Source organism: Homo sapiens, chromosome 10 (assembly GCF_000001405.40).
Source record: "Homo sapiens chromosome 10, GRCh38.p14 Primary Assembly".
In the NCBI taxonomy this organism is placed as follows: Eukaryota; Metazoa; Chordata; class Mammalia; order Primates; family Hominidae; genus Homo; species Homo sapiens.
The window spans coordinates 28,588,042-28,605,481 of record NC_000010.11 but is presented as its reverse complement, the minus strand read 5'-3'; the positions used below and the strand labels follow the sequence as shown (position 1 = coordinate 28,605,481).

Sequence of the window (17,440 nt, the reverse complement as noted above, 5' to 3'; positions counted from 1 at the left end):
TCTCTATGAAAAGGTTTGATTTTATTAAACCTTTTAATAAAGGTATTAGTCCTCAACAGACTGCTCATCGGAATCACTTCTAAAGTTAAAAAACAAAACAAACCAGATACCTGGGCTCCAAGCCACATTTACTGAACGGAAGCCTGGGCATATCTAACAACTTGTAGAAGTTCTATGTGTGATTCTGGCACTACTTGCTGTTTATGCAAAAATAGACTGGAGAACCTCCAAGGTTCCTTTTAACTTTAAAAACAAACAAAAGAAAAACATAAAGCAAAATTGAAAAAATATAGCACAATGTGGAGAACTGAATTGAATAAAGATACGATCAGGGACAGAAGCGAAATCTTTTATCCATGCAGGTCTTCAGCATGCTATATTTACACTTTTTTTATTGCTCCACTCTCTCAACCAAAGACACACATACAAACGTCCTTCCAAAGCATGTTGTAAGTTATTTACATATTTCTTATGTTACATGCCTCAATCTACATGTATAATACTAAAAGCTGAGTTTAATAATACAAACATAAAATGCTATTCTGAGAGGTAGTTTTAGTTTTATCACTGAAATAGTATAAAAGGTAGAAGTTTTATATTTAAAGTGTTGATTGGGTGCCCCTCCCCTTTGGTTTGGAGTGCCCTTACACAAATCTAGTGTATTACTCAGTATCTTCTATTACATAACATTTATTATCCCTCCTTTGTACTAGGAACATGAGCTTCCTCGGGAGAGGAATTGTGTTGTATCTTTTCTTTCCTGAGATACAGTCGTTCTCTGTCACCCAGGCCGGAGCGCAGTGGCGTGATCTTGGCTCACTGCAATCTCTGCCTCCGGGTTCAAGTGATTCTCCTGCCTCAGCTGGAATTACAGGTGCATGCCACCACACCCAGCGAATTTTTTGTATTTTTAGTAGAGATGGGATTTTGCCATATTGGCCAAGCTGGTCTCGAACTCCTGGCCTCAACTGATCTGTTCACCTCGGCTTCCCAAAGTGCTGGGATTACAGGCATGAGCCACCACGCCGGGCCTTGTTGTACTTTTCTCTGTAGCCCTTGTAGAAAACAGGACTCGGCACCAAAATGGCATCAACATACACTTGCTGCCTGGGTGCCAGTTAATGACAGCATTCTTCAATACAGGTAACAGGAGCATGTACACATGCATTCGCATTTAACTTCTAGGCCAATCATCTTGATTGGCCTCAAAACTGATAATGCTAAACAATAAAAAAAAAAAAAACACCTGATAATGCTGGGAAGGTAGGCCTTACACTTCCATCGACGTAACAGTCAAAGAAAACGATGAATAGCTCATTTTATGCTATATTCATAAAGCTAAGTAACACTATGTAGAGACAAATTTAACTTAAACTTATTTTAAATAATCTTATAAAAATAAACCACCTTTTGTAAACACAAAGGCAACAAAACTTTGGAATAACTTAAAAAAAATCAGTGTACTTTTAGTATAGAAATATATATATATATACATATATATATATATATATATATATATACATACATACATATATATATTTTTTTTTTGAGACGGAGTCTTGCTCTGTCACCCAGGCTGGAGTGCAGTGGTGCAATCTCAGCTAACTGCAAGATCTGCCTCCCGGGTTCACGCCATTCTCCTGCCTCAGCCTCCCGAGTAGCTGGGACTACAGGCGCCTGCCACCTCGACCGGCTAATTTTTTGTATTTTTAGTAGAGATGGGGTTTTCACCGTGCTAGCCAGGATGGTCTCGATCTCCTGACCTCGTGGATCCACCTGCTTCAGTCTCCCAAAGTGCTGGGATTACAGGCGTGAGCTACCGCACCTGGCCTACAAATACATAATTTTAATTAACAACTTCATTTGTCTGAAACCTTTTTGTCTAATTTGTTAGGATATGAGGCTAATATGCTTAATAACATGTTTTACATGTTTGCAACAAACTGAACATAAACAGAAAATCCACATCTTTGAAAAGAGCTAAACACAAAGAATGAATTTACGTGAGAGAATGTAGTGTTTTTCATTAAAAAGTCAGTTCAATGCTTTCTTCTGCGCTTGAAGAATATATCAGCCCTACTCTCACTGCTTCAATGCAAACTTTTCCAAGCATTAAGGAAACCTAGACTACTATAGATCAAGCTCGTCCAACCCATGGGCCACGGGCCACATGAAGCCTAGGACAGCTTTGAATGTGGCTCGACACAAATTTGTAAATTTTCTTAAAACATGCAATTTTTTTAAAAGCTCATCAGCTATCATTAGTTTATTTTACGTGTGGACCAAGACAATTCTTCTTCTTCCAATGTGGCCCAGGGAAGCCAAAAGATTGGATACTCCTACTTTAAATGGTCTTTCAAAATCACTCTTTAGTAATGGAATAATATCTGGTTTTAGCTCTAGTGTTGACTTGTGTGTGCCTATGATCTTTCAAAGGATATTTTGTGATCTCTTCCTAAGCTATTTTAAACTTTCCTTCACTCTCCCATTTGACATTTCTGTGACTTGTATATCTGACCAATTATTTGATATGTGCTGTAAATATCACCCTTTGATTTTAAATTCTATGTATTTAAGAGACAAAACTTCTTAATGCTTTATAATTATAAATTATTCACTTGTATTTCCAAATTCTGCTGGGGCAGGGCAGCCTACCAAAGACTAGACGCATAAAAATCTGTTGCTATAACCTCTTTCTAGGGTTTAAAATATTATCACTTCAACTCTTGTTATAGGTACCCTTGCAAACTACTGTAAAGAGCATAAACTAAAGTCAAACTTTATTTCTTACCTATATTTTTCTGGTATCTCAAATCCTTTTCAATATACAGAAGATCTAAAATGATACTGGTAATAAGTGCACTTCTAATCATTACTTTCCTGTTGTGTTTTGACAGTTGCTGTAATACTGAGCAGGACATGGGGACACATGAAACTCAAATTACTGCTACAAAGGCAGCCTGCTTTATCTATTTTGTAATAGTGGTGTTACATGGGAAACATAGAGCAGATTATGAAGAGGTATGTAAGTGTAGTAGGAAAAAACCATAAGGTAGGTAGGTGACAACACCTAAATCTGTGACTTTAATTTTTAAATTCATATTTTTACTCATGTATCCTTCTAGAACTTAATGCATTTATAAATGTATATAAATATGCTGTTTTACAACAAAGAAAGTATTCTTTAACTTGTTTTATTCAACTGAGAAAATCTTCATGTTAATACACACAAAAGATAAGCAACTTCCAACAGATTTTGCTAAAGTGACATCCCCTACTAGCAAGACCCACTTACACACTCCCACATACTGTGCTTCCCAACATTCAATTGTTGTCATTAGTCTCAAGAGTGAAAAATATCCTCCTAGTAATCTTAATTTTCAGCATGCACTGGCAATCTTTCTCTTGCATTGTTTTTACCCTGGTAAAGTATACGCAGCATCAAACTTACTATTTTAACCATTTTACAAGTATAATGCAGTGTCTTTAAGTACATCCACATTTCTGTGCAACTATCACCACTATACGTCTCCAGAACATTTTCATCTTCCCAAACAGAAACTTAACACCCACTCCCACCCCGGACACCACCAAACAGTCCCTGGTAACTACTATTCCAGTTTCTGTCTGTATGAATTTGACCATTCTGGGTACCCTAGTATATGTGGAATCATAAAATATGTGTCCTGCTCCTGGCTTATTTCATGTAATATTCTCAAGGTTCATCCATGTTGTAGCATGTATCAGAATTTCACTCCCTTTGAAGGCTGAATATTGTATTGTTAGTCTATGTATCACGTCGTATCCTTTCATCTGCTAATGAACACTTGATTGTTTCTATCTAATGTTTGTCTGTTGTGAATTACTAGGAACACCCGCATGTAAGCATGTTTTGAGTCTCTGCCTTTCTTTTGGGTATGTATCTAGAAATGGAATTGCCAGATCCTACACATAATTCTGTTTAACTTTCTGAAGAACTGCCGAACTGTATTCCAGAGTAGCTGCATCATTTTACATTCCTACCAACAATGTACAAGGGTTTCAATTTTTTCATACCCTCCAAAACACCTATTTCCATTTTTTAATTATAATAGTCATCCTAATGGGTATTAAGTGGTATTTCATTATGGCTTTTGAATTGCATTTCCCTAATGACTAAGGAGGCTGACCATCTTTTCATGTGCTTACTGGCCACCAGGATATCTTCTTTGCAGAAATGTTTATTCGAGTCCTTTGCCCATTTATGAACCGTGTTGTTTTACATGGTTAAGCTGGACTTCTACATATATTCATTCATCCCTTATCAACATACGTGATTTACAAATATTTTCATTCTATGAATAGCATTTTCACTCCCTTTGATGTACAAGTTTTTAATACTGACGAAGTCCAATGTGCCTATTTTTTTCTTTTGTTGCCTGTGCTCTGGTTATCATATTTCAAGAAATCATGGCCAACTCCAATACCATTTAGATTTTGTTTTCTTCCAAGAGCCTCGGTGTTTTAGTTCTTAAATTTAGGTCTTTGATCCATTCTCGGTGAATTTTTGTATATGGTGCAACAGCTCTTCTCTAATTTTCTGTTCATTGGATTGTCCACTGTTCTATTGGATTGTCTTTTTCATTCTGCTTTGTATGTATCTTTTTATGTATCTTTAATGTATCCTGTTACATGTCGCAAGTATTTTCTCCTGTCTGATACTTATCTTTCAACCTTTGTTTATTGTACTTTTTATAAAGAAGTTTTAAATGTCTATGTGGTCAAATTTATTAATTTTTAAAAAGACAAATCCATTTTGGGTCTTGATGAAGACTTTCCTTACCCTCAAATTACAAACAATATTTCCTAATATTTTTTATCAGTTATTTCTTCATTAAGTTGACTAAACCTAGTTAAATTTAATGACTAAGACTAAATTCCTACACTAAGTTATTCGATTATTCAATAAATATTTGAATAACTATGGCCAATCTTTCTAACTTTTCATGAATATTTAGTAAGCCTAAAAATTATTTTAAAGCAAAGCAACTGAGTGCTGAAGTTGGCCCACTACCACTGCCAGTTAATGACCATCTACATCAGCTATAAGAGCCTAGCTTTAACACATACTGAAGTTTTTGAGTTCATTCAATTGTCATTTAGTCTACAGATAGCATAAAAACAGAAGGAAATTTTACTTCAAGTGACTGACTCACACCTCATATTAAAACGACTAGTCTGTCCTGCCCTTTACATATGGCACCAGCATGTGAGTATGTGATTATTTACACATGTTCATACGGAGAGCTAGCTTGAGATTACTAAATAGGTCTAATTCTATGGCTACTTTGTTTTGTTTTCAAATTTATCTCTGCTAATAAATCATAATTCTAAATCACTAAATAGAGAACTTACTGAATAAGGATATTAAACTCTCCTGACAACTTGGTCATAGCAAACAATAAGGACCCACGTTTCCTATTTTGTCATTTCACCAATCTAGAAGGGATGGCAGAGTTAGAGCAGGTTTAAAATGGCCATTTGGGTGCCAACTGATAAAATTCAATTTTGTATTTTTTTGGTGTATCAGACTTTCTCTACTTGTTGTATGGTGGTCCAATAAAGTGATCATACATAGATGTTCAAATGTTACCCTAACAAACAACTATAGACCTAAATGGGGTCACCTCACTCCCTTGTTTCACTCTACCTAACATCAAGACTGTTCTCTGCAAAAATAAAAGAGCTCTGCAGCTTTCTCTACCGTTCTGACTACTCATGCAGGCACAAAACTTGAATTCACCTTAGGTTCTTTCTCTCAAATGACACACTGGCATCAAACAGATCTAAATCCATTGCTGGTATGCTTTAATCAGATGCACAACACATACACAAACTTCTTTTTCTCCAAATACTTTTTTAAAAACCATGACCAGTGCAAGTGCTCCCAACTCTCAACACCTGTTCTTGTAGCATCCATCTACAACAAATATTTTAACACATAGAACATGGATGCCTATACAACATCCATTACACACATGTAGTATAGGCATCCATCCAACATTTACACACTGTTGTATAGGCATCTACAACAAATATTTACACACTGCCTATTATCTGTCAAGCACTAGGAATAGAGCAGTGGTTAAGAAAGACAAAGACTCTGCTCTTATACACAGCATCAACCACTGACATCTTTAGACACAGCTCAGCTATACTATCAGTGCTTAAGAACAACAGGCCAACCTGATTTGAACCATCAGCGCTTAATATAAATTATTTAGTTGTTAAGAAAAACCTAAACAAGTAAAATCACTAATTTTACTTGTTTTAATCATTTTAATCATCTACTGATGAGAAGAGTCAATAGAAAGCTTAATTTAAATAACATGGATGTCTCCGTTGAGAAAAAAAATATGTCAAATGGACATTTCAGAAATATGGAGAACAATCTAAATGAACAATCTAAACAGACTAAATGGAAAACAATCTGTAAAGATTAAAGTTGCTATAAAACTTATCTAAGGATGTAACAGTCTTCAATTAACATACAAGGAGAAGTACTTGGAAAGACTGCACAATTTCCCCTATAAAAACAGATAATTCCATGGTAGGTAATCGAGTTTCTTCCTACAAGTTTAAGAATACTATATATAAATTATGCACATGCTTGTGATTAGCAAACACACTTCGTGAAATTTAAACTCGAATCTACTCTGTCAGAAATTTTACATTACGAGCGTCCGAACTGACATAGATGTGCTGTATGTTATGTCTTTCATTACATTTGGTTTTGAGGAAAGAACAGTGTTGTGGAGAAGCTGCCTCTAACACCACACGTTTGAATTGGGGTAATGTTTAGGCTCTTCATTTCTAAGATAAGAGATATTACCTTCCCTCACCAGTGTTGTTTTAAGGAATAAACTAAAATGAACATAAGACAATTAGCATCAAACTGCATGGAGGGAAGGGTTAGAAGGTGAACAAAGTACAAAATACAGTAAAACATAATGTTGAGCCCTAGAGGGGATATAATCTAAGTGAAAAAACTGAAATTACAATGTTTAAGTGTTGTAACAAAAGAGTATTGGATTCAACAGGACAGCAATGAAAGAAAGAACATGTTCTATTTAGCAAAAGCTCAGGACAGGAAAGATAATGGCAAGTCCTAACAAATGTCCAAGTTTGCAACAGATGAATTACAGAGAATTAAGAGTGCAACGGATGGAGACCAAGCTAGTAAAACAGACTGCAACCATCCTGTCAAGTGCTTGCTATAATCTAAGCATGGACTTTATCATCTGGATGTTTAAAAAACCACTAGAAGTTTCTAAGCAAGGAGCCGACACAATTCAATTTAAATGGTATAATGATGCCACTGTTAAGCGGATAGACTGGGTAAGAAGATAATCAGGAGATTATTTCAAGAGAACCTGGCCAGGTACGGTGGCTCGCACCTGTAATCCCAGCACGTTGGGAGGCCAAGGCCAGAAGACTGCTTGAGGCCAAAAGTTTGAGACCAGTCTGAGCAATACAGTGATTTTTACAAATTAACAAACGGAGAGAGATGACCTGAATTTCAGTAAGTGAAATCTCCACGAAAGATTTTTACAATTAAAACAGAGAGAGAGAATCTGAATTTCAATGAGTGCTAGGAGAAAGAGCCCAAGATTTCTCAATGGGTGGGTGGGTGAGAATGTTTAAGAATAAGGCAAAGTTAGGAAGAACAGTGCTGTCAATTACTGCGAATCTAAGAATAAATTGTGGGAAAGGGAGAAATTAGGGACACACTGTATATGAGGATACGTAACAAATACTAAGAGTTTACAGAAGGTAAGTAGATACGTAAGTCTGAACTAGAACTAAAGACTTGGTAGTCATAACAGTAACAAAATGACTACCAAGGAATATGGTTAACAAGAAAAAGAACCAAACAGAGGAAAAAAGGCTGAGATGCTGATATGTAAGCAGGAAGGAACAGAAATAGGCAACTGAAGGAGTGTAGTATCACAGAAGCCAGAGAAAGAATTTCAAAAAGGAGTTAAAAAGTGTTAAATGTACAAAGGTGACATGGGATAAATACTTTCAAAGGGTCATCAGAATTTTAACTGACAAGGATTGTTAAAGTAAAATTTTCTGTGAGCAAATTGTCAAAATTATAGGAACTTAAGAAACCAAAATGTCCTATGGAAAATATATTAACTATAGCATTAATTCAGATTTCATCTCTCAATATTTCTCTTTGCAAATATGTCACAGGGTAAATCTGACATTTTATGTATGAATTTTGGTACGAACCATCTTTACCGAATTTGACATTTGGAACAAGCAATAATCTGACACATTATGCACTGTATGATATATATACTAAAGTATATGGTTGAATAACAAGGAAAATTCAAATAACATGTATAATACATATGCATGTATTACATGCATATAACATGTAATAAGAAAATTTCAAATAAAATGTATTTATAGTTGAGTTTCTGCTCAACTATAAATATTAGTCTCTATTAATCTAGATTTTAAGGGGGCTACAAGTTCTTTTTTAGGATTCTTTAAAATCACACTGTAGTTCAAGGAGAGAGGAAATCAGAAACAAAAGAAATCCAACTATTTGAGCCCTTTTGTCAACAAATTGAATCAATGTGAATTAATGTATCAAGCCTCTCCTAAACCCACAGCACATTTAAAAGCGCATCAACACTTACTAATGGTCTGCTAATGGATCTACCTGTGACAATTTATTTACTACATTTTAATTTCCTTAGATTCTTAAAACATACTATGAAGTACAAGTTTCAGATTGTGAATGGTCTATGCAAATTTTATCACACTGCTTATGTTGTGTCACACCTTCCAAGTAGTTGTTCTTAAATTTTTCTGTAACTTTTTAAACATGCTATGATTATTGACACTGAGTTGGATAAACGCAATTTGGGTTGCAACGTTTAACTTCCACTCTTCAGACTTAAGGTCCAATTCAGACATTAACACGCCTTATCTTATGGCCCACAACTTAATTTTCTAATCACAAACTGAAACCAATAATGAAATGTTATACAGACATTAGTTTTAAAATACCTCTATTTATATTAAGTATTAAGAGAAAACTGAGACGATTTATAAACTAAACTGTCAAGACAATGATCACAAAAACAGAAAATTGAAGAGACAGTTACTTGACTTTAACAAATTACTTAAACCATTATTGTTATAAATTAAGCACTTGACTTAAAATTCAGAGGCAAGAAACAGTTCTGAGGCTGGATAATTATAAATTAAAGAAAAAAGCTAAATATTGCTAACTCTACACCTAACTCTACACAGAAACATTCTAAAAGACTTTTTTAAAAATTTATAATTCAGAGCCAAAGGAAATAATGTAATATATAAGAAACTTAGAAGAAACTTAGAAACTATAGTTCAACGTGCAGCATCTAGTAATAATGGCATACCTTTTCTTTCTGTTTTCTGTGCAGGGACAGAAGATGTGGGTGTAGGCAGTTTTGATAAAGTAGATGCTCCATTAGCATCAAATGATTTCTTTGGCTGGTGATCAGACTGTAGCGTAAATGGACTAGAAGGAACAGTGCTTGGGGTAGCAGTTGGATGAACCACTGGTTTGATGGGGTGCTGTACTGGCGTAGAACTACTGTGAGTCTCTGCTCTTGGCAGTCTGTAGTCTCTGTCATTGTGTCTGCTTGTTTGAGACAAAATATTCTGTGGGAGCAAACTACTGGCATCACTGGAATGCTTGTCTTCCACTTTAGTTCACAGTTCGAAAAAACAGATGTTGGAATGACAGAAGGGGGAAGAAAAAAGATTACATTAGAATCCTACCTTTAACATCAGCTAATTTAGCAACATACTTGTACTTACATATTCTTTTATAAAACTGCAAACCCAGTTAGTGTCTGCAGTTTTACCACTAGCATGTAAATATGCAATACTGGAAGAGGAGGAGTTTTTGCTCAACTATAAATATTCATCTATACTCATATTTCAAGGGTGCTACACATTTTTTAAGGATTCCTTAGAATCACACTGTAGTTCAAACAAAACACAAAAAAAAAAAATCAACATATGGAGTTATAATATCTTATAAAATTTTAAAAAATGTTTTAAAGGCAGAAAAAGTAAATGCTTCGTTCTTTTACACTACAGGTCACAGATTTTAATAACTGAATTATTCACAGTGGTTCAACTGCAAAGGAATATTAGGCTTTATTAGCCTGGTCTTTCTGAATACTAAGCTACAATTAGTTGCCTCTAAAGCAGTTTATAAGAAGGCTTAAATGAAATCATTTTAAGATGACTGAAGTTATGATGAACTGTGAACACAGTAAGTAAACCAATCTGTAGTATTTTTAATGTTACAAATACCAGAGAGTTAATAAAATCATGATGCATAATGCTATCTGAAAATAGAAGTCCAACACCCGCAGCATAGTCAGAACAATCTACTTATCACTAGGTGTATTAAAAACAAATCCTCTTTCAATTTAAAGCCACAAAAATACTTTAAGCTCAGAAATACTGAAAACAGTTCAAAATCTATCAATTTAAATTCTAACACCATGATTCCACAAAACAGTACAAAAAGAACGAAAATTTCAACTATCATGTTGAAGTTCATTCAAAGTGTCCAATCTAAATTACAATATTCCCAACAATAACTAAAGAATTAAAATAACCTCCAAGGAGAGAAACGACCTAAAATCCAAGCATGTGATGTACAATAATTTTACTAAAGGATGCCCTCTCTGTTGATTATTGTATAGTTTTTTTCAATTCACAGCTCCTCCAATTGTAAAGACCAAGACAAAACAACGAAGGAGGAACATTCAAACTAGAAGTCAGTTTCAAAGCTGTCAGTACACAACCACTACATGGTACACCACAACAAAAGGTACCGGAATACCACCCAAAAAGTCAATCACATCAAAGCACGAGGTCTTCTGACAATGACTTACTACATAAAATTCCGTGTTATAAATGATACAATATAAAAATCTACAAAAATGAACAGAATACAAACATCTGTTGTATGATAGTAATATATAAGTAAGCTATCAACTTGCATGAACATAAAATTTAAAAAGTTTTATTCTACAGTTTCTACCTGCAATGAGGTACAACTAAGACAGAAACCTTTAGAGACAGACATAGCAGGAATAATATCATGCCCAACCCTGTATACAATTTTTATTTCCTCAACCAAGAAAACTTCCTTTCAGTTCTATATCGCTAGTCAAAATGTATCAAGCGTATGTACTCCAATGAAAATTAAGGATGATACTTCTAACATTTTTGAATTAAAAAAACAAAAAGGGCAGCAGCATTACAGGAACAGGGGACGCTATAGCTGTAACAGCTTTCTATACTTACAACTCTAGATAAACACAGTTAAAGCAGTGCCTGTTTGTCACCCTCCCAGAGGGTGGTGCTTTGCTTGTCCTGACTGGAGAGAGGGGAGGTATGCTACTGGCATCTAGTGAGGAGAGGCCAGTTATGGTGCTCAACAACCTACAAAACAGGAAAGCCTTCCATAACAATTACTTCACCCAAAGTGTCATTAGTGCTTCTGTTGAGAAACCCTAAGTAAGGTTTCTCTAAACATAGAGCCATCAACATATAAAGCACAGGTTTGCAAAAATAAAAATTAGTAGCAGTTAAACGCAAATTAAAAATTTTATCCATATAATTTTCAGTATCAAGTTGTGGAGAATATTAACATTTGATAAAATATTTTATTTTTTTTTTTTTGAGAGAGTCTCACTGGAGTGCAATGGCATGAATCTCGCCTCACTGAAACCTCTGCCTGCCTCAGCCTCCCACGTGGCTGGGATTACAGGCGCGCACCACCACGCCCAGCTTATTTTTGTATTTTTAGTAGAGACGGGGTTTCACCACATTGGCCGGGCTGGTCTCAAACTCTTGACTTCAGATGATCCACCCGTCTCGGCCTCCCAAAGTGCTGGGATTACAGGCATGAGCCACCGTGCCTGGCCTTTGTTAAAATATTTTAGTGCTTTACAAACACTTAATATATTGCAAAAAAACAAAAACAAAAACCTCATTAAAACCTACTTTATCTCTTTACATGTAAAAATCTTCTGAATCCTTCCCCCTCTGCCATCCCCTAAAGTTCTTTTATTGGTAGTCAAGAACAAGCTTTAAGCCATACTCTACACAAACACCAATACACCGAAACACAAGGTAACACTCTGCCAATATGTTTTGGATAGACTAAGTTAAATACTTGAATGGCTTATTCACTTTATTACTAAGTTGACCAATTTTTTAAAAAAGCAACAACACAGCTAAGGTTCTTCCTCAAACATCACCTAAACTAAAAAAAAAGTGTGATACATGACTACATTTCAACACAAGCACAGACACAATGACTCATCATTTGCCTATCTAGGAATTTAACTGAAGGCAGTAATCAGAGAAGTGGGCAGATATGAAATCATAATCTTGTTTACAGTAGGAAAAGGCTGAAAACCTCCCAAGTATTCATTGATAGGGGATTATTTGTCAATGAAGGTATACCTACGCAATCAATATAACAACTGCAGAATTATAAACAGACATAAAAACATATTCCTGACACATTGCTGAATAAAAGAACAGGTAAAAAACAGCAACACAGAATCCCATTTTTCAAATACATACATATGTAATTTGTATACACATTTATATGCATACAGAAAAAAAAGTATATATTCCAAAATGTTCCAGGGTCATGGAATTTAAAAACTTTACCTATTTACGAATATGGCCTACTTTTGAAATCATGAAGAAAAACAAGTTAAAAAGTTATTTTTATACTTATCTATCACTCATCACTCATTTTCTTTTTTCTTTTTTTTGGAGACAGAGTCTTGCTCTGTCACCCAGGCTGGAGTACAGTGGTGCAATCTCAGGTCACAGCAACCTCCACCTCCTGGGTTCAAGCGATTATCCTGTCTCAGCCTTCCGAGTGGCTGGGATTACAGGCATTCACCACCACACCTAGATAACTTTTGTATTTTAGTAGAGACGGGGTTTCACCATGTTGGCCAGGATGGGCTCGATCTCTTGACTTCGTGATCCGCCTGCCTCAGCCTCCCAAAGTGTTGGGATTACAGGTGTGAGCCATCACACCCAGCCATCTGTCACTCATTTTCTGTGCATCCCCTCCCCTGCAATTTGCTCAAAAAACCCACAAGCTGGGTGCAACTTGTTTATGTCTAGAGGAAAACCTCGGTCTCATTTTTAATTGTTTGACAAAAGTCAGTTTATTAAGATATAAAAAGAAATGGGACTAGAATCTAATTCTTCCATCTCAAAATTCAATGTTCTTTAATATGCCAACTTCAGTACTTTATACCATTAAAAAAATTATATACAATTTCACTGATTTAAAAATTTAACACTTAATCCTGCAGATGTATGTTACTGTTTCATCTTAAATATTTTCTCCCATCAAAAACTCAATAATCCCTTCTAAGACCAAATACACCCCCAACTTTTTGGTTTGAGTTATAGGAGCAGGATTGAAACATTGAAGTCTAAGAATTCCCAGAAAACATCATCTTGAAATTCTTCTCAAAATTGCAAAAGGAACCCAGGAAGTCTATGTGACAGTTAATTTTTTTTTTTTTTTTTTTTTTTTTTTGAGACAGAGTCTGACTCTGTTGCCAGGCTAGAGTGCAGTGGCAAGATCATAGCCAAATGCCAGGGCTCAAGTCATCTTCTTGCCTCAGCCTCCCAAGTGGCTGGGATTACAGCTGCGTGGTTAATTTTTAATTCTGTGGACACTGGGTCTCGCCATGTTGCACAGGCCGGTCTCAAACTCTTGGCCTCAAGCCATCCTCCTGCCTCGGCCTCCCAAAGGGCTGGGATTGCAGCAGGCATGAGCCACGGCACTGGGAGTAAATTTTATTCAAGTTAAGGGAAGCCAGTGGAAATAGAATACCTTTAATAAAGCTTCAAATTTGGAGAATGAATTACAAAATAAATGTATGTTATACAAAATTGTCCCACGAGCACAAAATTTGGCCTCAGAAGAACACTGAAGTATGCCCACGGTTTTATAGATGAAGAGCACCTTGGAACAAAAAGGTGTAAGTTTTCTAGTAGACATTTTAAAATTGTGTGGAAATTCAAACTAGAGATGTTACACAGATCTGTGATCATGGTGAAATTAGTTTCTACATACAAGGATAAACAAGTTACTCACTGGTAACATAAAAAAACAAGTAGCTATTCTGGTGTCACTGTGTGTAGCTATGATTCAATTATTAGACTAAAAGCCGGTGAGATTTGTGTCCAGTTTAATAGGACACAACTTAAGGGCAGGCAGGTAGGGTGGGAGAGGAAGCTCCTGTCTGGGGGGATCAGGGGAAACCAATCCAAAACAAAATTTTACTGTTTGCAATTCAACTCCATTATAGCCATAATGTGTAGTGGGAAACACATACCTGTACTACTCGACCGTGTATCTTTTCCCTTTTCAGGGACCAAAATGGTGGAGGGTATAATAAATCCAACATAAAAGAATCTCCGTATGTTTCTATTTATTTTAATTTACATATGTAGATGGCAATGGATACAGATTTGAAAAATAAATACGAATAAGTCAAACATACATTTCAAAGAAAAAAAATTAATACTTACTTCCACTGGCAAACCCACTAGTGGCTGTTGCTTGCATCACCTCTCTTCTGTAATCCCTATCTTTTGGGAAGCTGTTGACTGCCATCTTGTTTGCTTCTTTTTGTCTCTGTTCTCTAAAAATAAAAAAAAAGATAAACATATAAAAATTACATTAAGGGCATGAGTTTCCATACTAAACAGCTCTGGCCAAATGCCTAACAAATGGTATACAGAAAACAAAAGGAGTGAACATGGTCATAATTTAACTGGTGTGTGAGATGGAACGTAGCAAACAGAACACTAACATGTCTCACTAATGGCAAAATTATACCAATTGTTATACCACTAACGCCATAACCAAAGCTCAGCAATTTTAATTCTACATGTGAAAGAAACATTACGGCCTTATTAAACTATTAAAATTTCCATCAAAATTAAAGATGCATAAATGTAGGTATTTTATTAACTATACTGACTATTCAAAAGTCCTTTGTGGACAGCTGCCTATCTATCCTAGATTTTTTTTTTTTTTTTTTTTTTTTGAGATAGCATCTTGCTCTGTTGCTCAGGCTAGAGTGTAGTGGCACCATGATGGCTCACTGCAGCTTTGGCCTCTTAGGCTCAAGCCATCCTCCCACCTCAGCCTCTTAGTAGCTAGGACTACAAGTGCATGCTACCACTCACAGCTAACTTTTTGTAGAGGCAGGGTCTCACTATGTTGCCAGGGCTGGCCTCAAACTCCTGGGCTCAAGTGATCCTCCCGTCTTGGCCTCCCAAAGTTCTGGGATTACAGGCATGAGCCACTGCACCCAGCCAGGTTTTTTGTTTTTAAAAGTAAAGACAAACTATGGAAAACACGAAGGGGCAACCAACCACCGCAACTAAAAAGTGTAGATGGGCAGCACTATAAAAAAGCTAAATTAGAATGTTTAATGCTGTAAGATGTTAACCAGTAGAACCAAGCTAGAGAAATAATGTTTAATTAGATTAAAAGCTAATTACCTTTCAAGCCACTCTTTTGGTTTTTCCCATTGTGAAACTTCTGTTCGACAATTGTAGTAGTACTTTTTCCCAGAAGAGCTAATATGCTCAGACCAGTCATCTGCAGAATCATAAGGCTTAAAAATATATTTTTTACAATTAGAAAATGTTAATACTATTTAATCACATGAAATATCAACAACATCAAAGCACACATACAGGAAAACACTTATGAGATAAAGGTACTCTGAACTAGAATGCAATTATCTGTGTAAGTATTTATAAGACCTTAGTTTATGAAAATCTTCAAAGACAACAGAACTTTATAAAATATCAAAATTAAGCAGAATAAAAATTAGATTGTTAGGCACAGAAAGAAAACTGTGAAATTAACATCACCTTGATTTTAGAAAGCATGACAAAATCTCCCACCACAATTTTAATTGTTGAAATCCAGTAACATGGGGGTGGGGAATGCACTCTCGACTAGATGATGGCATGAAATCATCAGTTCTAAATTCTAAGGCACAATACTAATTATATATGGTATAAAAGAGAACAATCTTGCCTGTATTAACTGTTACTCAGTGAGAAAAGGAACCAAAATATGTAAACATAAACAGAAAGCTAATTAAAAGCTGTAAGTTTGTTTCACCTTCAAAATCAACAAGATGGATCAAGTACACATAAACCAGAATCTTGTTCTCATGTAATATACAGGATTAGCAGTATCACTCTTTTTCCCATAACTAAAAATGGTCTTTCAAAAATTCTCAGGTACAGTCTCTTCCAGGTAGTTTTATAGACAACGTAACATAATGAAATTAGAAAGATCTGAAAGGTCTAGTTTCCACGAAACGAATCTCACAAAGATTAGTTAAGTATCTAATTGCCCCCAGGAAATCTGGTAGAATCTCAACTATCCTGGTTGAATTCCTTATTTTTTCAAAGGAGCTTACTGAAATAACATTGATTATATTTTGTCAAATAGCTAGAAAAGAGGATTTTGAGTGTTCCCAACACAAATAAATGAGATGATATGCAAATTACTCTTTTGAACATTATAAAAATATACTGTATGTATCGAAACATCACTATGTACCCCATAAATATGTAGAATTGTCAATTTAGAAAAATTAAAAAATATTTAAAAAGATTAAACCACTTAAAAAAATGAAATAATGTACTATACTATCATAGCCTATCCTTCTGGGTTCACTGTATCGTGCCACAATTTTCAAGCTTGAGGAAATGAAGTCTTATTCACTGCCTTACCCTTGGCCCAGCTTTAATTTTAACAACTAGGAAACAAGCTGAGAGAACTTATGAGTTGTCTATAGGTCACAAAACTAATTAGTGGTTTATCAAAGGACAAAAAACTCTGGTTTCCAAATGCCTATTATTTCCACTAAATTAACACCGAGTCTGGAAATTCCCCTAATAATTCTGAAGGCAGTTGGAAAAAGATCACAGACTCTGCCATGTATTTATATGCTCAGGTTTACATCCCAAAATAATGAGGGTGGCAAAGCAGCCCTGCGCCCTCACACCTCAAAAAGCAGTGGAGAGTTAATTTTCAATCCCACTAGCTTCCAGAAGCCTACAATCAAGCTTTAGGAACCCAATCACAAAGGGCCAAATTCAGGAAGTTCTTCCCTACCACCTACTCCTCCCTATACATAAATTATTATGCAACTGATCCCTTCTACGGATGTTATCTGGAAGGCTTGGTTTGCTTGCCAAGTGGTTATGTGGAATTACTGAACTGAAGAGGTAGAATGAGATTTGAGACTAGTGGACAGAGGACACCAGAGGTCAGTATGGTCTAGGC

General features: G+C 35.6%; 1 protein-coding gene across 18 annotated transcripts in view; it reads right to left on the bottom strand.

Moving 5' to 3' along the window:
* The window catches only part of WAC (WW domain containing adaptor with coiled-coil), a 90,334-nt gene that overhangs the window by 17,631 nt on the left and 55,263 nt on the right, over window positions 1–17,440 (bottom strand). For 13 of the 18 annotated variants that reach the window (XR_007061967.1, XM_047425320.1, XM_047425315.1 and 10 more), the window contains 3 exons: window positions 15,631–15,746; window positions 14,650–14,762; window positions 9,441–9,749 (listed from right to left, as the gene is read on the bottom strand). Coding sequence is in view for 17 of the 18 variants with exons in the window: in XM_047425320.1 (XP_047281276.1) it covers window positions 9,441–9,749; window positions 14,650–14,762; window positions 15,631–15,746 (538 nt within the window). In the remaining variant the exon portion in view is untranslated. Of the gene's footprint in view, window positions 1–9,440; window positions 9,788–14,649; window positions 14,763–15,630; window positions 15,747–17,440 lie in introns of all 18 variants that reach the window. The other 5 variants (XM_047425318.1, NM_100486.4, XM_047425319.1 and 2 more) reach the window with 2 other exon arrangements.